We start from the raw sequence: 23,016 nt of genomic DNA on the forward strand, positions 1-23,016 counted from the left end.
CCCCCTCTCATTATCCTGTAACTAACAAACAGCACTTTTTTACCCCTAGGTTCACTGAACAAGCTGCCCTCTTGTGGTTCTGATATATTTCCTGAGCACAAAAGTGGGCTGTTAGGAAGCTGTGTAGGTAGCAAGCCCAGCCTGCCCACAAATATTTGTCAAGGTAACTGAGAGTGAATGTTCTGACCTGCTTCTACATGAGAGGTATACACACATCACTATGGGCTTGGGTCACAGTTACAAAAGAATGAAGAAAATACGGTGGCCACAAAATACATATGGTTCGAGGCTGACAAATTCAAAAGACAATTTAATCTCTGTTTACTTTGCTGCTTAATTTTAAGGCCCTTTAGTACATACTTTCACTTTTGCAACGTGGAATCAGCATATCAGAAGCAAGCACGTCTCAAACAAGGTCAGGGCAAAGAAAGCAGAACTGCAAACTCCGATTCTACCATCTGTGAATATATTCAATATTCCCAAGATATCTTTGTACAAAGAAAGAAAACAACAAAACAAAGTAAACAAATAGTACCTAATAAAAACAATCCTGCATTTTATTAACATTGGCAAGCAGAATCCAGATCTCTAATAAAATAACAAGCACTTTTAAAAAAGAAAGGAAAGGAGGGAAGAAGGAAGTACACAAGGAAGAGGGAGGGAGGGAGAATCAAATAGCGTACTTTTCTTTTTTTTTTTTTTTTTGAGACAGAGTCTCGCTCTCTTGCCCAGGTTGGAGTGCAGTGGTGGGATCTCGGCTCACTGCAGCTTCCGCCTCCCGGGTTCAAGTGATTCTCCTGCCTCAGCCTCCCAAGTACCTGGGATTACAGGAGCGTGCCACCACATCCAGCTAACTTTTGTATTTTTAGTAGAGACAGGGTTTCACTATGTTGGCCAGGCTAGTCTCGAACTCTTGACCTCAAGTGATTCACCTGCCTTGGCCTCCCAAAGCGCTGGGAATTACAGGTATGAGTCACTGCATAGCCACAGCATAATTTTCAAAAGTTACACTAAAAGAAGACAAAAGATGACACAGGCATTGACTCAAAAACTGGAAACATTTTCTCTTCTAGAGAGCAATCCATCTTTATACAAGACCTTGTTTAAAAGAAAAACATAGAGGCCCTAAGACTTTTTTAAAGATAAGGATTTAGGGGCTAGGTGCGGTGGCTCACACCTGTAATCCCAGCACTTTGGGAGGCTGAGGCAGGTGGATCACGAGGTCAGGAGATGGAGACCACCCTGGCTAACATGGTGAAACCCTGTCTCTACTAAAAATACAAAAAATTAACAGGGCATGGTGGCGGGCACCTGTAGTCCCAGCTACTCAAGAGGCTGAAGCAGAAGAATTGCTTGAACCTGGGAGGTGGAGGTTGCAGTGAGCTGAGATCCCGCCACTGTACTCCAGCCTGGGCGACAGAGTGAGACTCTGTCTCAAAAATAAATAAATAAATAAATAATAAAAAGATAAAGGATATAAATAAAAATGGGCTCTGTATTTCAACTATTGACGTGTTAAAAATTCATCTAGTCCAGATCCTGCAGTAGCAGGTGGGCTAAATTAATTTGAACCAGGGGTAGACTCATTTCTGTATATGGCTGCCGAATCCACATTCTGATAGATCAATCTTTCTTTTTAAACACGGTCACGTCACTTCCCTTCTCAAAACCCTCCAATGGCATGTCCTCACACTTGGAATAAAATCCAGAGTCCTTCCCCAGGTTCCCTCTAGGAGCCTGCATAGCGTGGCTTGGCTGTGCTCCATTCCCTGCTGTTCATTCTCCATCAACCTCACAGTGCTGGCTATACCACTGGCCTTCTGGCCGTTTCTTAAACAAACCAGCTCATCCTCTTCTCCTGCCTTGGCACTCACTGTCGGCCCCACCTGGAATTTCCTTTCCCAGCCTTTACACCACCCCCCATCCTAGCTCTCTCCCTGACTGAATTCAGGTCTTTGCTCAAATGCCATCTCCTCCAAGAAGTCTTCTCTGACAACTTTCTTTTCTTTTTTCTTTTTTTTTTTGAGACGGAGTCTCACGCTGTCACCCAGGCTGGAGTGCAGTGGCACGATCTTGGCTCACTACAACCTCCGCCTCCCGGGTTCAAGTGATTCTCCTGCCTCAGCCTCCCGAGTAGCCGGGACTACAGGCACGCGCCACCACGCCCCACCTCTGATTGCTTTTTTTTTTTTTTAATATGGAATACTTCATGAATTGATTATTCTTTTAAAAGAGTTCTCCAATCACCAACTGTATACTCTTTCTTCCTCTTCCCTATCTTTATTTCTCTTCTTTGCTCATATTATTATCTGAAATTGCATTATGTATTTTTTATTTTATTTTATTTTATTTTTGAGACAGAGTCTCACTCTGTCACCCAGGCTGGAGTGCAGTGGCGTGGTCTCGGCTCACTCCAACCTCAGCCTCCCAGGTTAAAGCAATTCTCCTGCCTCAGCCTCCCAAGTAGCTGGGATTACAGGCGCATGCCACTATGCATGGCTATTTTTTGTATTTTTAGTAAAGATGGCATTTCACCATGTTGCCAGGCAGGTCTTGAACTCCTGACCTCAGGTGATCTGCCCACCTTGGTTTCCCAAAGTGCTGGGATTACAGGTGTGAGCCACTACGCCCAGCCAATTATGTATTCATTTTTATCACTTTTCACTATCTATCTGCCCCACTAAAATGTGAGCTCCATGATAAGGGACTTTTTCTTCTTCACCAAGGCACTCCCAGCTCCTAACGCAGGGTCTAGCACTAGTCAATAGTCAATATTTGAGAAATAAAATATCCCCTGGTTGGAGAGATAATAAGCCCTTAATCAAACCTGTTCCAAGACTTTTACTATCAACAAGCTAAAAAGCCCATGTCCTTTACTTGAATTCAGAGTGCTGAACAGTGGTTGGCCAGCAACCTCTACTAAGAAGTTCTTTGCGATCAGAGACATTTGAAGGTAAAATAGGGCCTTCGTCGTAAGATGAGCCAGCCAGCCCTTTTGTCCTGAAACTGAGTACGCAAGTGCAGAGAGGTTACCTGGTTTCTCCAAGCTCACATAGAAATGGTGAACATCAGGAGACGCGGGACCACTTAAAGGATGCACAGTCCCGTATTCATCTCCGCAACCCCAGGACCCAGCACGGTGCCTGGTGCAAAGAATGCACTCAGTGGGATTGCGCCCAGGGAACGAATGCTCTCTAAGGCCTCATTCAACTGAACTGTACTTCCTCTCATTACTGTCCCAATGATAACTTCCTATCCGAGAACCATTTCCAGTCACTTGAGTCATGCGTCATTTACTTCCTGTCCTCTGTCCTTTTAAAGTGCAGTTTGACAACATACCAGGCACAACAGTAACATCTGGGGGCTGCTTTGCTTCTAACGTAAGTCAAATAGCCCAGCATGGAAAATACCTAGGAAAAAAGTGGGATATGCAAAGCAAACCTCAAAAAAAAAAAAAAAAAAAGACAAAAGCTGGTGGGCTGGCCACGGTGTCACAAATGAAGTCTCCAGTGGCTTCATCATAACAAGTAAGTTTACTTTATGAAAGCTCACACTTGCATGGTGCCTTCTGTTCTCAGCACTTTATATATATATGCTCTCATTGAATTCTTTCCAAGATGTACATCTCACCTGTAAGAGGCACTACAACTCTGAAAAACCAAGTAATTTTTAGAAATAATTCAGCATTCTTTCTGATTGCTCTAGAGGAAGAAAAAAAATTTTAAAGAAATAATTTAGCAGCAAAATCCGACGCTCTAGTTCCTTCCTCCCTTCCCCCCATCTCTCTCTCCTTTCTTTCCCTCCCTCCCTCCCTTTCTTCCTTTTTTTTTTAACGAATCTCCCAGGCTTAAGGGCAGTGGCGTGATCTCGGCTTGCTGCAACCTCCACCTCCAGGGTTCAAGTGATTCTCCTGCCTCAGCTTCCTGAGTAGCTGGGACTGCAGGCACGCACCACAACACTCAGCTAATTTTTGGTTTTTTGTTTTGTTTTTGAGACGTAGTTTCCCTCTTGTTGCCCAGGCTGCAGTGCAATGGCGCGATCTCGGCTCACTGCAACCTCCGCCTCCCAGGTTCAAGCGGTTCTCCTGCCTCAGCCTTCCCAGTAGCTGGGATTACAAGCGCCCGCCACCATGCCCAGTTAATTTTTTGTATTTTTACTAGAGATGGGGTTTCACTATGTTGGCCAGGCTGGCCTCGAACTCCTGACCTCAGGCAATCCACCCGCCTCAGACTCCCAAAGGGATTACAGGCGTGAGCCACCACACCCGGCTTAATTTTTGTATTTTTAATAGAGACGGGATTTTGCCATGTTGCCCAGCTGGTCTCAAACTCCTGTCCTCAAGTAATCCGTCCATCTCAGCCTCCAAAAGTGCTGGGATTACAGGTGTGAGTCACCGCACCCAGCCCCTGACTTTCTAGTTTCTAATGAGACTCTCTACAGCCTTCGTTTCTTGCAGCATGTCTGAGTGTCCATTCGCTCTGCTGAAGAAATAGTGATGGGTGTGATCAAGGAATACTGCCTGAGATGAGTGGTATTAAGCAACACAGGGTACGTGCAACATATTATCTTTCTAAAATCTGAAATGTTCTGGCTTCTAAAACACATCTGACCCAATGGGTTTCGACAAGGATTTCTCACTTATATTAATGCAGAGAAGTAACTTGCCCACATCACACACCTAGTAACTGGCAACGCTAGGACTGCAATCAGGCAGCCTAATTCTGCAGGCCATGCCTGCGGCCGCCACATCATCCTGCCTCTCTCATGAATGATGGGAATGTGATCTGAAAGTCAGTGATTCCTCAACTGTTTTTCTGATGTGGGTCCCAGAAATAGAATTCGGAAAGATGAACAGCCAAGGTGGCCTTGTGCTGTCACCTGTGAAGGCAATTTGGACCAGCGATGACACCAGGTGAGTTAGGGCACAGAACAGCTGACTTCCCAGAAGTCATGGCCACTTTCGGGAAAATGGCATCCAGAGGCTTGGAGATCAAAACTTTTGCCTCCTTGAACATCTTCCCCAGGAGCCTCTGGGAAACACTGAAGCCAACCTGCTAAAGACCTGAAAAGATCTTCTTTTTTTTTTTTTTTTGAGACAGAGTCTGGCTCTGTCGCGCAGGCTGGAGTGCGGTGGCGTGATCTTGGCTCACTGCAACCTCTGCCTCCTGGGTTCAAGCAGTTCTCACGCCTCAGCCTCCTGAGTAGCTGGGATTACAGGCATGCACCACCGCGTCTGGCTTATTTTTGTATTTTTAGTAGAGACGGGGTTTCACCATGTTGGCCAGACTGTTCTCCATCTCCTGACCTCAGGTGATCTGCCCGCCTCAGCCTCCCAAAGTGCTGGGATTACAGGCTGAGCCACTGCACCCAGCCTAATACATTCTTTTTAAGATTACACTATGAGGTTAAGTAATCTTCATTACTTAATGAAGATTAAGGTGCAGTAGGTCATGCCTGTAATCCCAGCACTTTGGGAGGCCAAGGTAGGAGGATCACGATCACACCACTGCACTCCAGATTGGGTGACAAAGTGAGACTCTGTCTCAAAAATAAAGTAATTGCAGTTTTTGCTATTACTTTTAATGGCAAAAACCGCAATTACTTTTGCACCAAACTAATACATTCTTTTTAAGATTATACTATGAGGGCCAGACACAGTGGCTCATGCCTATAATACTAGCACTTTGGGAGACTGAGGCGGGAGGATCACTTGAGCTCAGGAGTTCCAGACCAGCCTGGGCAATATGGCGAAATCTTGTCTCTATAAAAAATAAAAAAATTCACCGAGTATGGTGGTGCACGCCTGTAATCCCAGCTACTTGGGAGACTGAGGTGGGTGAATCACCTGAGCCCAGGATGCAAAGGTTGCAGTGAGCTGAGTTTGCGCCACGGCACTCCAGCCTGGGCAACAGAGAGAAACCTTGTCTCAAAAAAATATATATATATACATTTACATGATGAGGTGGGATGAAGAGCTGCAGGTGGGTTGTGAGCCTGAGAATGTGTGTTGGGGGGCACGTTGGGGGGAGTTGTGCACATATGAAAGTGTACGCTCATTAAAAATTGATATTTCCCTAATGTCCAGAATGCAGAGCAATTATAATTTATGCTTCAACTTTTCTGTCCCCTAAATTCATTATTGGTGGAAGTAAAAGATGCTGATCATTTGGGCCCACAGTGTGCTTACTTGGCTAAGTCCTTGGGGTTACCTCCATTCTTCAGATCTCAGTTCAAATGTCAATTCCTCAGGGAAGCCTTCCCCAATGCCCAAAGTAGACTGTCCCACCCTTTAATTCTCACCCACATCTTGGTGTACACTTTCCCTTTGAGCAGTCATCGTGGGTTCTAATTAAATACTCCTGGCTTTCTTTGTTCACTGACTGGCTGTTCCTACTAGACTGTAATTTCCTTGAGGACAGTACTATATCTATATGCTCATCTGTGTTCCCAGCATGAAGCATAGCACCTGCCACATCCTAGTAGCTCCATAAATATTTGTTGAGTTGGCTGGGCGCAGTGGCTCATGCCTGTAATCCCAGCGCTTTGGGAGTCTGAGGTGGGCGGATCAACTGAGGTCAGGAGTTCAAGACCAGCCTGGCCAACATGGTGAAACTCCGTCTCTACCAAAAATCCAAAAATTAGCTGGGCATGGTGGTGGGTGCCAGAAATCCCAGCTACTTGGGATGCTGAAGCAGGAGAATCGCTTGAACCCAGGAGGCGGAGGTTGCAGTGAGCCAAGGTCGCACCATTGCACTCCAGCCTGGGCAACAAGAGCGAAACCCCACCTTAAAAAAAAAAATTGTTGAATGAATGAATGCATGAGTATAGAATTTTACAATAAAAAATCAGAGGTTCCTCAGCAGACAAACACAAGGCCTTCTCCCACCTCTGAGTTGTGAAATTGTTATTGCCTAGGCAATCCTATTTGGCAATTTATCATATGTTGCTCAGTGACCTGTTATCTTTATAGTTGTGGATTGTTGCTTAATTTTCTTATTCTTTTTTAATGTGTACTCTGGTTAGATCTTGTCTTCCCAAGCAGATTATAAGCACATCTCAGTGTAAATTACATCGTCCTGAATTCCTCAAAGCTCCCATAGTGGAGTTTTGCACCTAATCTTTTTACACTGTTGCTTCATTTTGTGCTCAAAACAGATATTATTATTCTCATTTTTTGCAGATGGAGAAAACTGAAGCTCAGAGAAATAAGTGACTCACAGTTTGTATAAGTTGATATTTGAAATTTGGGATTTCTCCTCTTAAATTACAGATATCTCATTAACACAGGCTCAGAAATCATTTTTTCTCCCTGTGAACTTTTGGTCTGTCATTTGCTTTAACTTAAACTATATCGAATTCTGTGACTTTTAACATTTAGACATTCATTTACTCAATCATTTATTGAATGAGTAAATGTCTAAAAAATATGTACTGAGGCTGGGCATGGTGGCTCACGCCTGTAATCCCAGCACTTCAGGAGGCCGAGGCAGGTGGATCACTTAAGGTCAGGAGTTCAAGACCAGCCTGGCCAACATGGTGAAACCCTGTCTCTATTAAAACTACAAAAAAAAAAAAAAAAAAATGGGCCAGACATGGTGGCTCATGCTTGTAATCCCAGCACTTTGGGAGGCTGAGGTTGGCAAATAACCTGAGGTCAGGAGTTCAAGACTAGCCTGGCCAACATGGTGAAACCCCATCTCTACTAAAAATACAAAAATTAGCCAGGTGTGGTGGTGGACACCTGTAGTTCCAGCTAATTGGGAGGCTGAGGCAGGAGAATTGCTTGAACTCGGGAGGCAGAGGTTGTAGTGGGCCGAGATCGTGCCACAGCACTCCAGCCTGGTCGACAGAGTCAAACTCTGTCTAAAAAAAAAAAAAAAAAATTAGCCGGGCGTGGTGGCAGGCGCCTGTAATCCCAGTTACTTGGGAGACTGAGGTAGAAGAATCACTTGAACCCAGGAGGCGGAGGTAGAAGTGAGCCAAGATTTCGCCACTGCACTCCAGCCTGGGTGACAGAGTGAGACTCCGTCTCAAAAAAGAAATGTGTACTAAGCCCCTCCTATGTTCCAAGCACTGTGCTAGTGATTGTGGTGAATAGGGCAGATCCAGCCTTTATTTTATCCCTATTACAAGGTATTTATCCCTATTACAAGGTATATTACCATGACATAGATAGCATTTGCCCCTCAGTAATGGTTTTTTCTTTAGAGGCTACTTCACCAAGACAGAATATAAGCTAGTTTGGATTATATGGAAAAGCAGCCTTTGCCTCTATTTCTGGCAAATAGAAGGAGAGAGCCTAATAAATATTTTTCAAGTGAGTCTAACATGAAATCAGGCTGTGTTTCTCAAACAATTACAGGTGACAAACACAGAATACGATATGGCTAGCCCATAATGTGGGTGTTATTTCTACAATAACGAATCAAGTGACATGGGTATGCAAGCATCATTTCAGAAACTATACAGAGAAGCTGCATTTTCTCCCTCAAGCCCCAAAGTCCAAGATAATGTCAAGTGAGAAAGCCTGAAGCAAACATTGGAGATCTTATCTAAATTTTTTAAAAATAAGACTGTTAAGGAAGAAAAACTGAGGTGTTGTTTAAATATAAAAGATTCTATCTTTGTTCCTGTGGGTGACCAACACCAGGGTAGAGAAAATCTTGATTCAGCAAATATTTTTTGAGTTTCATGAAATATCCCCTCCACCATCCTCTAAGGTCCCACCCAAATCGGGAAGACTCTTGGTGGTGCAAAAATAGGATTATTGTTGTTTTTGCGAAGTCAGGCCCTTTATTAGAGGGTAGAAAGAACACTTGTTCCTGATTTCTCAACTTCTGATTCCTGTTGGCAGCACATAATATGCCCCAGCCTTGACTCTCAAGCACAACAAACTGCAAATGAAATAGATAAGTCACTGTTCCTTCAAATCTGTACATTACAAGCCATTTCTAGTGTTTACCTTTTTTAAAATTTTGGCCAAATTACTTGCACTAGCCAGATAGCTGTTAGAGAGATTAGCAAGTAGGTCTGAGAATCACTCACCCATAACCACGCGCTCACTTTCTTGATATTACTCTCTTATTTTTCCATCCTGACCCTGGCACAATAGTTAAACACCAGCCTGGTCAGCAAAACAGTGTTGTCAAAACGCAGCCAAGCTGAGTTTTGACCCACAGAGGTCTGACAGTTGTCAGGAATTTCCTAACATGGCCAGGGTCACTGACAGTTAAAGGTTTCACTGGTATCACCTGCAAAATCTAACTCCACTCCATGAAAAGTGCAGAAAACTCTTAAAATGCTTTCTGTGCTGCCTAAGGTTCTGATTTTAAAACACAAGAGTATGGAAGTTCAGACTTTTGGTTATCTCCACTTTGCCAAGGCACAGGTGTTTGAGGAATGAGCATGTGCATGGCCCAGCACTTTCTTACCACTCTTGGATGATCAAGAGTTCAAAGCAACCTTGCCAGGTGCATTTAAAAAAAAAATCTAACCAGAGCTCACAATACAACCAATTCCTTGGATTGAATGAGGACACCTCGGCTCTCCCTGCTCCCGGCAGTGCCAGCCTTTGGTCACTTGCCAGTCCAGGGGAAGCCAGGAGGTGACCTCCCCGACCCTCTCCTGCCTAGTCATACATTCGAAGTTTTCATCTATTTTGTATGATGCAGCCATCTATGCCCTCTTTGACTGCTGACCACCATAACTAAAAAGTTGCTGCTAGGCTGGGCGTGGTGGCTCATGCCTGTAATCCCAGCACTTTGGGAGGCCAAGGCAGGTGGATTACGAGGTCAGGAGTTCAAGACCAGCCTGGCCAAAATGGTGAAACCCCGTTTCTACTAAAAATACAAAAAATTACCCAGGCATGGTGGCAGGCGCCTGTAATCCCAGCTACTCAGGAGGCTGAGGCAGGAGAATCACTTGCACACAGAAGTGGAGGTTGCAGTGAGCCGAGAACGCGCCACTGCACTTCAGCCTGGGCAAAAAGTAAGACTCCTTCTCGGAAAAAAAAAAAAAAAAGTTGCTGCTATTCCCTTTTCTCTCACTATTTCCCACATTCTTAGCACTGCCTACGTGTCAGGAACTGCATTAAAGGAGACTATGTGTCTGGTTTTTTACCTCCCAACAATCAAGCCTGGTAAGGAACTGTTAAACCCACTTTCAGTAAAGAAGACTGAGGTCCAGAGAGATTATCTTATTATAAAGTGCCCAAGAGGCAGGATGGGACTTAAATCTTAGCCTTTCTGGGACTATTTTTCCATTGTCTTTTTTTTTTTTTTTTTTTTTGAGACGGAGTTTCACTTTTGTTGCCCAGACTGGAGTGCAATGGTGCAATCTCGGCTCACTGCGACCACCGCTTCCTGGGTTCAAGCGATTCTCCGGCCTCAGCATCATAAGTAGCTCGGATTACAGGCATGCACCATTACGCCTAGCTAATTTTTGTATTTTCAGTAGAGATGGGATGTTGACCAGGCTGGTCTCGAACTCCTGACCTCAGGTGATCCACCTGCCTTGCCCTACCAAAGTGCTGGGATTACAGGCATAAGCCACTGTGCCCAACTTCTTTTTTGCTTCTTCTTTTCTTTTTTTTTTCTTTTTTTTTTTTGAGACAGGGTCTTGCTCTGTCACCCAGGCTTGAGTACGGTGGTGCAATCTCAGCTCACTGCAACCTCCACCTCCTGGGCTCAGGTGATCCTCCCACCTCAGCCTCCTGAGTAGCTGGAATTACAGGCTTGCACCACCATGCCCAGCTAATTTTTGTATTTTTTGCAGAGATGGGGTTTCGTTATGTTGCGCAAGCTGGTCTCGAACTCCTGCGCTCAAGCAATCCACCCATCTGGGCCTCCCTAAGTGCTGGGATTACAGGTGTGAGCCACCTCGCCTGGCCTCCGTTGTCTTAATGTAAGATATCCTTTTACTAGATCAGAAATCTCTGTCCTTCTCTCATTCATTTATTCATTCAGCCAGTCAGTTAACATTCATTAGAGGTCCACAATGCAAGGTCCCCTCAATGACTCAATGACTTGAAACCTGTTTCTCAAATAGCCCATGTGACTACTTACTCATTTTAAAAAGCTATTATTAAATCAATTGCATGTTTTACAATCAGTACCCCATGGTTACAATCCAGGAAACATACCCCCAAGTGATAATCTGCAAAATCCACTAGATTTAAAGATATGCAAAGTTAACAGAAAGAGACCACCTGGTCTGCTGGACTCTAAGACTAGCAGGAGGGGTGGGTAATCAGGCTGTAGGATTAACACGATCAAAGAAAAATGTGTCTCTCAGAAGGAGTGGTCCTCTTTTGGAAGCCTGGAAAAAAGAGGACAGGTGAAAGTTGATCATGCCCACTGAAGCACAGACCAGGAGAGGGACTTCAGAAGGCTTCCGGTCCCAAAGACAAGATCATTCTACTGTGAAATACACTGAGGTTGCATCAGACTAAGGAGGCGGGTGTCATTACATTTTAGACCCCTTCTCCTCCCACTTCTCCCTATTTTTTTTTTTTTTTTTTTTTGAGACAGTCTCACTCTTGTGTCACCCAGGCTAGAGTGCACTGGTGCGACCTCGGCTCACTGCAACCTCTGCCTCCGGGGTTCAAGCAATTATCCTGACTCAGTCTCCCAAATAATTGGGATTACAGGTGCGCGCCACCACGCCCGGCTAATTTTTGTATTTTTAGTAGAGACGAGGTTTCACCATGTTAGCCAGGCTGTTCTCTAGCTCCTGACCTCAAGTGACCTGCCCACCTCGGCCTCCCAAAGCATTAGGATTACAGGCGTGAGCCACCGTGCCCAGCCGAAATATTTCCTTTCTGTTTCTGACTACTATTCCCTAGAAGCAAAAACTTGTTTCATTGATAATATATAGCTGCTCAGGAGCTGCATCATTTTTTAGAAGCGACAGCAACAATAAAGAATTCCCTCGAGGGGATGAGTCATTAGGTGAGCATTATGCTCCAAAAAGCTGTACCCCCAAAAGGGTCAAGTACAATGACAAAGCAGGGTAAACAGGCTACTAAAAATATCCAAAATGACGGGACCCATGTGTTGTATTAAACTGGCATTTGTTAGCCCTTGCTAAAAATTAAAAGTATATTTTAGCAATCCCAGCTACTCAGGAGGCTGAGGCAGGAGAATCACTTGAATCTGGGAGGCAGAGGTTGCAGTGAGCCGAGATGGCGCCACTGCACTCCAGTCTGGGCGACAGAGCAAGACTCCATCTCAAAATAAATAAATAAATAAATAAAATACCTTTTTTAAAAAGAGTATATTTTAGCATGGTTGATTACTTCAGGGTTGTTGACCATTCAATTAGGCTAGCTCCACAGAAATCTGTTTTGCTTCCTAAATAGCACTGAAACAATGAACACTTTAATGCCATCATGCTTTCTTTTCTTTCCTTTTCCCCATCTTTAAAAAAATGATTAAATGGCTGTAGAAGCGGTAAAATCAAACTCTGTGCTTGTATTATACTGCAGGATGACCCATGGCCCGCATTCTTAGAATTGTGCCCTCTTAAAACCGCAAAATACCTTAGATATCAGCTAGTTGATCTAGATAAGAAACCTGAGATTCAGAGAGAAAGGTGACTTTCCCAAGGTCACACAGTGGTCAGTTGGGGGCCCCAAAGGAAGGCCTTTCCCACTGCACACATGGTTAATACTCACAGAGGGTGGTGTCCACTAAGCAGAGCCTGGGTTTACTTCCCCATGTGCTAAGCTTGCTTACCTCACCCAGAGGGGTAATCAACACCCCTTTCCGTGTGGCTGTGTTACCAAAGCTACTTCTTGAAATTAAGACAAAAGAGCACAAAACTGCAGTGGTAGGGCCCTAGGTACACCCTTCAGGAAGGCACATTTACAATGGCAATTGCCCAATGTATTTGAAAGTTATGAAAAATATATTTTATGATAGTCTCTAAAAAGCTAAGCAAAAATGTAAAAAAGAAAGCTATGAAAAATAGCCCAGGTGTGCTGGCTCACACCTTGTAATCCCGGCACTTTGGGAGGCCAAGGCAGAATTGCTTGAGCCCAGGAGTTCAAGACCAGCCTGGGCAACATAGCAAGACACTATCTCTATTCATATAATGTAAAAAACAATTTTTTTAATTATGAAAAATACAAGGTGTAGAGGTCACCACCTTCCATGGAAGCATAGACCACAGTCTAGCTTCCCATATTGCAGTGAGGTGTGACCACTGACTATGCTCTGGCCAGTGGATGCAGAGGAAGTGGTGTGTGTCATCATGATGTGACGTGGTCCTGCCCATAAAAATCTACCACACGTTCTCCTCTGGGCTCTTTCCTCTTCTGGCTGACTGGGATGGCAATGCCCAGGCAACCTTGGCCATCATATGATAAAAATGGCAAAGCAGCTGCCAGTCTGGATCTCCAAATGAGTTTATGAAGGTGAGCTACCCCCGAACCTGCACACACACATACCCAGGAAAGCTGCACACCCAGGAAAGCTACTTAAGTAAAAAATAAATTTCTACTGGGTAAGCCAGTGACATTTGGAGGTCTTTATGTTACAGCCACCTAGCCTATCCTAAGGAATACATGGGGAATCTCCAAAGATTAGGAGAAGTATGGCTTTAAAGCAGGAGAAATAAACAGCACAGGCAACACATCTGTTGGTTTATCATCAAACATGAAGCAATAGGAAGGAATCAATAGAATTTGGAGAAGAGTAAAACATACTCATTTAGTCCTTTTAGAATACAAAAAAATCACTGTCTAGCTTTAAGAAAAGTTTATTTATGAGTTACTTTTTGAGACACAGAAAGCCTTTTTCAAAGAGAGGATATTAGAAATGATATTCAAGACCTCAGGCCCTACCGAAAATTTATTTTTTTGCTCAAGTTAATAGAAACCATTCTAAAAGTAAACACCAGTCTTGTGGTCCTCTGAGGCCCGAGGATCCTCAGTGGGAGGAAGGGGCAGAAGCAGGAGTGGCGGAGCTTCTGAGCAAGGGCCCCAGAGGCTGAAGGCCTAGAAGGAGGGCTCTCTTGTGTGTGTCTTGAATAGGTCCGGAAGTGAACGTGGGGACTGAGCAGGGCCTAAGGAAACACTCTATCCAGTCACCTCAGCCTTGGTGAGAACACAAAGAGAATTTCTCCTTGTCTGCAGATGCAACCTTCTTCATTCTGTACTTTATCAAGGGAGGCAATGAATTCAACTAAGCTTCCACAGTGTTTCTGATTTGATCCCAAATGGCATTTTCATTAATGAGCTGTGAAGTTATTTTCTCATTCATTCTGAACTCCCCCAGTGATGTTAAGCAGTACTCAGCATGACACTTGATACTACACAGCAGTGTGGTTAAGAGCAGGGGAGCCTCAAGGGCACCAACATGCATCTGCTAGCCAACCTTGGTGCTGGAGCTGGGTCCTTGATGCCTCTGCTGGGCTGGATATTAACCCTTTAGTTGCTGGCTCATGAGCAGGTCCTTGGGTTCCTGGGGAAGGGGCAAGGGAGGCCTGGCCGGTGGTGGTGGACACATAGGAGGCTTCAAGCAGCAGCTCTCCACTAAGAGGCACAGAGGGACTTCCACATTTTAACAACTAGTTTGGCTGTATGTGTACAATTAGCCCTGGTGAAAAGTGCAAGCTTTGGAATTAAGATTTGGGCTCAAATCTTATTCCGTGACAATCCATCTGTGTGACCATGGATAACTACTACTTATATTCTCTGAGCCTTAGTTTCTCAGTCAATGCTAGTCTCCCTAAGTCCCTTCCCCAGCTCACACCATCTTCAGAGCAAGCCCAGGGCACAGGAACAAAGATAGAGAAAAAAGAGAGGATAAATGATAAAGAAACAAAATGGACTGGACCCAGCAGCTCATGCCTGTAATTTCAGCACTTTGGGAGAACGAGGTGGGAGGCTTGCTTGACCCCACGAAAGACCAGCCTGGGTAACATAGGGAGACCCTGTCTCTACAAAAAATAAAAAACTAGCCCGGCGCGGTGGCACACGCCTGAAGTCTCAACTACTTGGGAGGCTGAGGCAGGAGGATCACTTGAGCCCAGGAGGTTAAGGCTGCAGTGAACTGTGACTGTGCCACTGCACTCCAGCCTGGGTAACAGAGCAAGACCCTGTCTCAACAACAACAAAAAAAAAAGGAAAAAGATGGACAGAATAAACAGAATAGGAGGAATGAGGGAGAGCCAAGAGAAAAGAACAAAGCAAAAGAGCAACTTGGTGGAAGTGGCTACACATTATTGAGGAGAACTGCTTCAGGAATAAGTAGGTCAGTGGTAGGGATCACCGCCCAGACTTGACCTTCAGGTTAGCTGGGTGCTCATTCTCACAATAAGTCACTGACCAAAAGCCCTGTATCATGCTGGGGATGAACTGTGGAGTCACCTCTGAGGCCAACATCGTTAAGAGTTAGATGTCTGCTGGGCACAGTGGCTCATGCCTGTAATCCCAGCACTTTGGGAGGCTGAGGTGGGTGGATCACGAGGTCAGGAGTTTGAGACCAGCCTGACCAACGTGGTGAAACTCCGTCTCTACTAAAAATACAAAAATTAGCCGGGTATGGTGGCGCGTGCCTGTAATCCCAGCTACTCAGGAGGCTGAGACAGAGGAATCGCTTGAATCTGGGAGGCAGAGGTTGCAGTGAGCTGAGATAGCGCCACTACACTCCACGCTGGGCGACAGAGCGAGACTCCATCTCAAAAACAAAACAAAAAGAGTTAGATATCTTAGTTTGAATCCTAGCTCTGTCACTTACTAGTGTATGCAAACCATTTCACCTCTCTGTAGCTCAGTTTCTTCATTTGTACAAAGGGGATAATCATAACACATTACCTATGTTCTGGTGGATAATGATAAATGAAATTAACACGGGTAAAGCGCTAAGAGCAGTAGCTACCTCATAAGGAGTGTATGCCTTAGCCACTCTTTATCCTCCCATGAGTCCTCCCACCTCGTCCTCCCAAAGTGCTGAGATTACAAGCAGGAGCCACTGGGCCCGGCCCATTCTGTGTCTTCATCATTTATCCTCTCTTTTTTTTCTCTATCCTTGTTCCTGTGCCCTGGGCTTGCTCTGAAGATGGTGTGAGCTGGGGAAGGGACTTAGGGAGACTAGCATTGACTGAGAAACTAAGGCTCAGAGAATATAAGTAATAGTGATCCATGTTCACACAGTTAGATTGTAACATAATTAAGATTTGAGCCCAAATCTAATTATTATGAATCGGTGACACCAAGAAAAGAGCAGTGGAGTCAGAGACATTGAACTCGGGCAGTGTCACTTTCTAACAACTTCGGAATTTTAGGAAAGTTACGTAAGTGGCTGAAGCTCAGAGAGGTTACCTGTAAAATGCGATTTTGTTACATTACAACTAACATTTATCGAGCATTTATTATGTGCCTATTACTGCACATACTATATATAAGTTCTCTCATTTAATGTTCACAATACTGTGGAAAAGATTCTATAATTATGACCATTTTCCAGAGGACAAAACTGTATCTTTGAAAAGTTAAGTATCTAGCCCAGCATCATAAAGCCCAGCCATGACTTCAAGCCAGTTTAGTAAGACACCAATTCAGTAACACGCAGTGCGCACAGAGAATAGTCATGCAGTAACTGTTGTCTCTGATCCCAAGATCTTGTAAAGGCATTGAAAGCATGGTTTTTGGGTGGCCCATATAATGGTTTATAGCACAACATACACATTTGAAGAAAGATTTATAATCCAGTGTCCACAAAAACCAAAGAAATGTAGGGCTAGCCTGACAGAATCAAGACCAAGGTTAAGGTATTTTGTTCCCAACATGATTCAGGATGAGGCAAAACAAGAGAGGCACAAAAATGAAACCCAATGCTTCTGTTTTCCAGAGGCCACAAATCTAATATCACAATATCATTGATAAAGTTATGCTTTATATTCCTGTAGAGAGATCTAAAATGAGTATTTACATGTTAAACTACAGCTTCACACTGACCTCTGTTATGATCTCAGAGAATGTTCTAAAGTCCCAAACTGAATAAAATGTACACCTAAGAATCCCAACAATATTCTTTTTTTTAAGAAATGTTGTCTTGAGAGTTGACTGAACCCGGGAGGCGGAGGTTGCCATGAGCTAACATCAGGCCACTGCACTCCAGCCTGGGTGACCGAGCGAGACTCTGTCTCAAAAACAAAAAAAAAGTGTTGTCCCAGGCCAGGCATGGTGGCTCACATGCCACCTGTAATCCCAGCACTTTGGGAGGCGAAGGCAGGACGATCAATTGAGCTCAGAAGTTCGAGACCAGCCTGGGCAACATGGCGAAACCCATTCTCTACAAAAAAAACACAAAAATTAGCTGGGCATGGCGGCGCAGTGCCTCTGGTCCCAGCTACTCAGAAGGCTGAGGTAAAGGGATTGCTTGAGCCCGAGAGATGGAGGCTGCAGTGAGCCATGATCACGTCACAGCCCTGCAGCCTAGGTAACATGGTAAAACCCTGTCTCAAAAAAAAAAAAAAAAAAAAAAAAAAAGGGTGGTCTCTATCATATTCTTGGATAGGAAGACTCAGCATCTTAAGATGTCAATTTTTTTCCGAATTGACATGAATTTAACATGTTGCCCTCCAAAAACAAAAGCAAACGAACAAAAAAATAGGAAGGCATATTTTAAGTGGGAGAGGAACTAAACAAGGCATTTGAACTAGACAAGTTGATCCTAAAGAATTTTCCTAACCAGGAATATTCTGACTGACGGGCCACTAGCACTACCAGATATTAAAACACAGTAGAAGGTCTTAATAGATAGTATAGTGTTGGGAGGCCGAGGCGGGTGGATCACCTGAGGTCAGGAGTTCGAGACCAGCCTAACTAACATGGTGAAACCCCGTCTCTACTAAAAATACAAAAATTAACTGGGCGTGCTGATGGGTGCCTGTAGTCCCAGCTACTCGGGAGGCTGAGGCAGGAGAATTGCTTGAAACCGGGAGGCGGAGGTTACAGTGAGCCGAGATTGCGCCATTGCACTCCAGCCTGGGCGACAATAGTGAGACTCTGTCTCAAAAGATAGATAGATAGATAGATAGATAGATAGATAGACAGACAGACAGACAGACAGACAGACAGACAGATAGATAGATAGTATATGTGGTCTGGGAGGGACATTAATCATAGAAGTCAAATTATTTCTACAAAAACAGTTTCAAATACATGATCCAGCATACAGTCAAAGATAACCAGGTGCATGAATACAACATGAGTGAGAGCCAGAAGAAATACAGGAAACAAAATTAAACTCACAGAGAATACCATAGAGTGAAATTATTAGACAGCCTATAAACAACTACGCTTATTATACAAAATGGAGTTTTCTTCAAAGGGCTAGCAGGCCGACAACTGCCTTCTTAAGCACCAACAACGGAAGCCAAAAGAGTAGAACGAGAGCATCAGTGTGCCGGGAAACAAACCATGAACTTAGAATTCTATTCTCATTTTTTTTTTTTTTTTGAGACGGAGTCTGGCTCTGTCGCCCAGGCTGGAGTGCAGTGGTGCGATCTCAGTTCACTGCAATCTCCGCCTCCCGGGTTCACACCATTCTCCTGCCTCAGCCTCCCGAGTAGCTGGGACTACAGGCGCCCACCACCACACCCGGCTAATTTTTTGTATTTTTAGTAAAGATGGGGTTTTACCGTGTTAGCCAGGACGGTCTCTATCTCCTGACCTGGTGATCCGCCCGCCTTGGCCTCCCAAAGTGCTGGGATTACAGGCGTGAGTCACCACGCCCGGCTCTATTCTCATTTTTTTTTTTGAGATGGAGTCTCGCTCTGTCGCCCAGGTTGGAGTGCAGTGCCGCAATCTCGGCTCACTGCAACCTCTGCCTCCCGGTTTCAAGCAATTCTCCTGCCTCAGCCTCCCAAGTAGCTGGGATTACAGATTGGCTGTGACCACGCCTGGCTAATTTTTGTATTTTTAGTAGAGATAGGGTTTCACCATGTTGGCCAGGCTGGTCTCGAACTCCTGTCCTCAAGTGATCCACCCGCCTTGGCCTCCCAAAGTGCTGGGATTACAGGCATGAGCCACTATGTCCGGCCAAAAATATTTTTTGAAAATAAACATAAACTAATGAGTGAGAGAGTCTGTCACAAATAGACTGCCACTAAAGGATATTCTAAAGCAGCGGTCCCCAACCTTTTTGGCACCAGGGACCGGTTTCATGGAAGACAATTTTTCCATGGTGGATAGGGGTGAGAATGGTGAAGGGAGAAGTGATGGTTTGGGGATGATTCAAGCACATTACATTTATTGTGCACTTTATTTCTATTATTACATTGCAGTACATAATGAAATAATTATACAACTCACCACAATGTAGAATCAGTGGGAGCCCTGAGCTTGTTTTCTTGCAACTAGATGGTCCCATCTGGGGGTGATGGGAGACAGTGACAGATCATCAGGCATTAGATTCTCATATGAAGCCTGCAACCTAGACCCCTTTATGTGCAGTTCATAATAGGCTTTACGCGCCTATGAGAATCTAATGCTGCCACTGATCTGCGAGGAATCAGAACTCAGGCAGTAATGTAAGCGATGGGGAACGACTGTAAATACAGATGAAGCTGTGCTGGCTCACCCGCTGCTCATCTCCTGCTGTGCTGTTCAACTCCTGCCTGGAACCCCTGATCTAAAGGGCGTTCCTGAAGCAGAAGGAAAATGGACCAAGATGGAAAGTTGGAGAACACAGCATAGAATGAAGAGCAATAAAAATGATAAATTTAAATAAATACTGCATAAAATAATCATGATAATGTTTTAAGGGGTTTTAATAAGAACAAAGAAATATCTAATAAATTTCAAATATGTATATAAAGAGAATTAAAATACATGACTAGCATATGAGTCAGAAAGTGGGTAAATGCTAAAGTTATATTTTTTAAAAGACAGACTTCCAAACTAACAGAGGAAACAGTGGAATGATACAACACAGACACCTACATACGAAAATAAAATACTGACGGCTGGGCGCGGTGGCTCACGCCTGTATTCCCAGCACTTTGGGAGGCAAAGGCAGGTGGATCACCTGAGGTCAGGAGTTCCAGACCAGCCTGGCCAACAAGGTGAAATCCCGTCTCTACTAAAAATACAACAATTAACAGGGCGTGGTGGTACATGCCTGTAATCCCAACTACTTGGGAGGTTGAGGCAGGAGAATCATTTGAACCTGGGAGGCAGAGGTTGCAGTGAGCCGAGATTGCATCACTGCACTCCAGCCTGAGTGAGAGAGTGAGACTCCATCTCAAAAGAAAAAGAAAAGAAAAGAAAAGAAAATACTGACACATAAGTAGTCAAAACAATGGAATGGGATAGAAAATCCAGATATATGTTCAAGTATATATGGGAATTTAGTAAATGATAAAAGAGGTGTATCATACCAGTAGAGACAGGAACTACTGAATAAGTGGTGTTGGGACAACTAGATATTCATCTAGAAAAAAATAAGTTGTATCTATACCTTGTAACTCATACCAGGATAAGTCCTGAGTAAATCAAATATTGAAATGTGAAAAATTAAACCACAAAGGTTCTACAAGAAAACATAGGAGAATCTTTTATAATCTGAAATGAGACCTTTCTATTCTGACTCATGATCCAAAAATCACAATAAAAGATTGACAATTCAACTACATAAAATTTTTTTTAAAAAATACAAACCAGGTGGGAGGAGGGTGCGGGATAAAAGACTACACTTTGGATACAGTGGGCACTGCTCGGGTGATGGGTGTACCCAAATCTGAGAAATCACCACTAAAGAACTTATCTGGCTGGACACGGTGGCTCACGCCTGTAATCCTAGTACTTTGGGAGGCTGAGGCAGGCGGTCACTTGAGGTCAGGAGTTAGAGAACAGCCTGGCCAATATGGTGAAACCCCATCTCTACTAAAAATACAAAAAAAAATTAGCCAGGCGTGGTGGTCCATGCCTGTAATCCCAGCTACTTAGGAAGCTGAGGCAGGAGAATTGCTTGAACTCGGGAGGCGGAGGTTGCACTGAGCCGAGATTGTACCACTGTACTCCAGCCTGGGCAACAGAGCGAGACTCCATCTCAAAAAGAAAAAAAAAAAGAATTTATCCATGCAACTAAACACCACCTGTTCCTCAAAAACTACTGGAAAAAAAAAAAAAAACCCACCAGGTGTGGCTCACCCTGTAATCCCAGCACTTTGGGAGGCCGAGGCGGGTGGATAACCTGAGGTCAGGGGTTCGAAACCAGCCTTGACCAACCTGGTGAAACCCCCTCTCTACTAAAATACAAAAATTAGCTGGACCTCGTGGCATCCGCCTGTAATCCTTGCCACTAGGGAGACTGAGGTAGGAGAATTGCTTGAAGCCAGGAGGCGGAGGTTGCGCCACTGCACTCCAGCCTGGGTGACAGAGCGAGACTCCATCTCAAAAAAAAAAAGGCAATGTGGAAGCTCTCAATGTACTGTTATTGAGAAATCTTCAAGATATATTGTTAAGTGAAGAAAAACAAGCTGCACCTAACATTCTACTTTTTGTGGAAAAGGAGAGGAATAGAAGCTCTAAGTGTATTTACTTGCATAGCATTAAAAAATTCCCTAAAGACAGATTAGAAACTAAGAACAGTTGGTACCCACATGTAGTTTATTTGAACAAAACAACAACTTAATAATGAAAGTGGGCCGGCTGTGGTGGCTTATGCCTGTAATCCCAGCACTTTGGGAGACCGAGATGGGAGGATCACTTAAGACCAGCCTGGTCAACATAGTGAGACCTTATCTCTATTTTTTAAATTTAAATAATAAAAATTTTAAAAAATAATAATAATGAAAAAGTCTTCAACATTATGCATTCTTCAATTTTCCTGTGAGCCTCCTTGTTTATTCATTTGAAAGTACAATATATTAAAATTCACCACAAAATTGCAGAAGTGGGCCGGATGCGGTAACTCACACCTGGAATCACAACACTTTGGGAGGCCGAGGCGGGCGGATTACTTGAGGCCAGGAGTTCAAGACTAGCCTGGCCAAAATGGTGAAACCCTGTCTGCTAAAAATACAAAAATTAGCTGCTGGGTGTGGTGGTAGGTGCCTGTAATCCCAGCTAATTGGGAGGCTGAGACAGAAGAATTGCTTGAACCCAGGAGGCAGAGGTTGCAATGAGCCGACATTGCGCCATTATACTCCAGACTAGGTGACAGAGCAAGACTTCATCTCAAAAAAAAAAAAAAAAAAAAAATTGTAGAAGTGTTTTCTATCCCTAGTTGAGAACTGAAGAAGAGAAATCTAACCAGAGAATTTGGTAAGCACATCTTATATGCATTTTTTAAAGACATTAATTCCAGTTATCCCTGGTACTGGGACTGCAGGTGATTTTAATTATCTCCTTTGTGTTCTGTGTTTCTCCAGGGCCACTGTTAATTTTATAATTAGCTTAAAATTTGTTCAAATAAAGTAAATATTATAAAGAGAAATTGTCTTCAGTAGTTAAGAAAAGGATGAAATTTTGAGTTTGAGGGTAACTAGGCTGGGCATAGTGGATTATGCCTGTAATCCCAGCACTTTGAGAGGCTGAGGCTGGTGGATCACTTGAGGTCAAGAGTTCGAGACCAGCCTGGCCAACATGGTGAAACCCCATCTCTACAAAAAATACAAAAATTAGCTGGGCATGGTAGCATGTGCCTGTAGTCCCAGCTACTCAGGATAATTGCCTGAACCCGGGAGGCAGAGGTTGGTGTAAGCCTAGATCATGCCACTAAACTCCAGCCTGGGGAAGAGACAGAGCAAGGCTCTGTCTAAAAAAAGAAAAGCAAGAAAGAAAGAGAGAGAGAGAGAAAGAAAGAAAGAAAGAGAGAGAGAGAGAAAGAAAGAAAAAGAAAGAAAGAAAGAAAGAAAGAAAGAGAAAGAAAGAAAGAAAAATAAACTTTGACTTTGAGGGTAATGAAAAATTGGAACAGTTTCCTAAGAAAGATAATCATAATTTCCATTTCTGTAAAACTTTATAAAATTGTATTAGACATCTTTGGTTTAAATTTTCATTTG

At 43.9% G+C, this 23,016-nt stretch overlaps 1 protein-coding gene across 32 annotated transcripts in view, besides 4 other annotated features; it reads right to left on the bottom strand.

Moving 5' to 3' along the window:
- RBM47 (RNA binding motif protein 47) overlaps positions 1-23,016 on the bottom strand; it is a 207,573-nt gene that overhangs the window by 127,682 nt on the left and 56,875 nt on the right. For 6 of the 32 annotated variants that reach the window (XM_047415818.1, XM_047415805.1, XM_047415797.1 and 3 more), the window contains one exon: positions 361-488. The exons of the other annotated variants lie outside the window; for them this stretch is intronic. The gene's annotated coding sequence lies outside the window, so the exon portion shown is untranslated. The remainder of the gene's footprint in view (positions 1-360; positions 489-23,016) is intronic. 32 annotated transcript variants of the gene reach the window in all.
- Positions 67-156: a silencer, noted in NCBI's record as "silent region_15379". NCBI's record gives its function as "represses an Ori minimal core promoter by ATAC-STARR-seq in GM12878 lymphoblastoid cells {active_cell/tissue: GM12878}" and the evidence as "EXISTENCE:reporter gene assay evidence [ECO:0000049][PMID:35858748]".
- Positions 10,475-10,975: an enhancer, noted in NCBI's record as "H3K4me1 hESC enhancer chr4:40563453-40563953 (GRCh37/hg19 assembly coordinates)". NCBI's record gives its function as "activates a minimal SCP1, AML or CMV promoter by ChIP-STARR-seq in primed H9 embryonic stem cells {active_cell/tissue: H9 hESC(primed)}" and the evidence as "EXISTENCE:reporter gene assay evidence [ECO:0000049][PMID:30033119]".
- Positions 11,119-11,629: an enhancer, noted in NCBI's record as "H3K27ac-H3K4me1 hESC enhancer chr4:40564097-40564607 (GRCh37/hg19 assembly coordinates)". NCBI's record gives its function as "activates a minimal SCP1, AML or CMV promoter by ChIP-STARR-seq in primed H9 embryonic stem cells {active_cell/tissue: H9 hESC(primed)}" and the evidence as "EXISTENCE:reporter gene assay evidence [ECO:0000049][PMID:30033119]".
- Positions 13,975-14,551: an enhancer, noted in NCBI's record as "NANOG hESC enhancer chr4:40566953-40567529 (GRCh37/hg19 assembly coordinates)". NCBI's record gives its function as "activates a minimal SCP1, AML or CMV promoter by ChIP-STARR-seq in naive H9 embryonic stem cells {active_cell/tissue: H9 hESC(naive)}" and the evidence as "EXISTENCE:reporter gene assay evidence [ECO:0000049][PMID:30033119]".

This window comes from Homo sapiens, chromosome 4 (genome assembly GCF_000001405.40).
Source record: "Homo sapiens chromosome 4, GRCh38.p14 Primary Assembly".
NCBI lineage: Eukaryota > Metazoa > Chordata > Mammalia > Primates > Hominidae > Homo > Homo sapiens.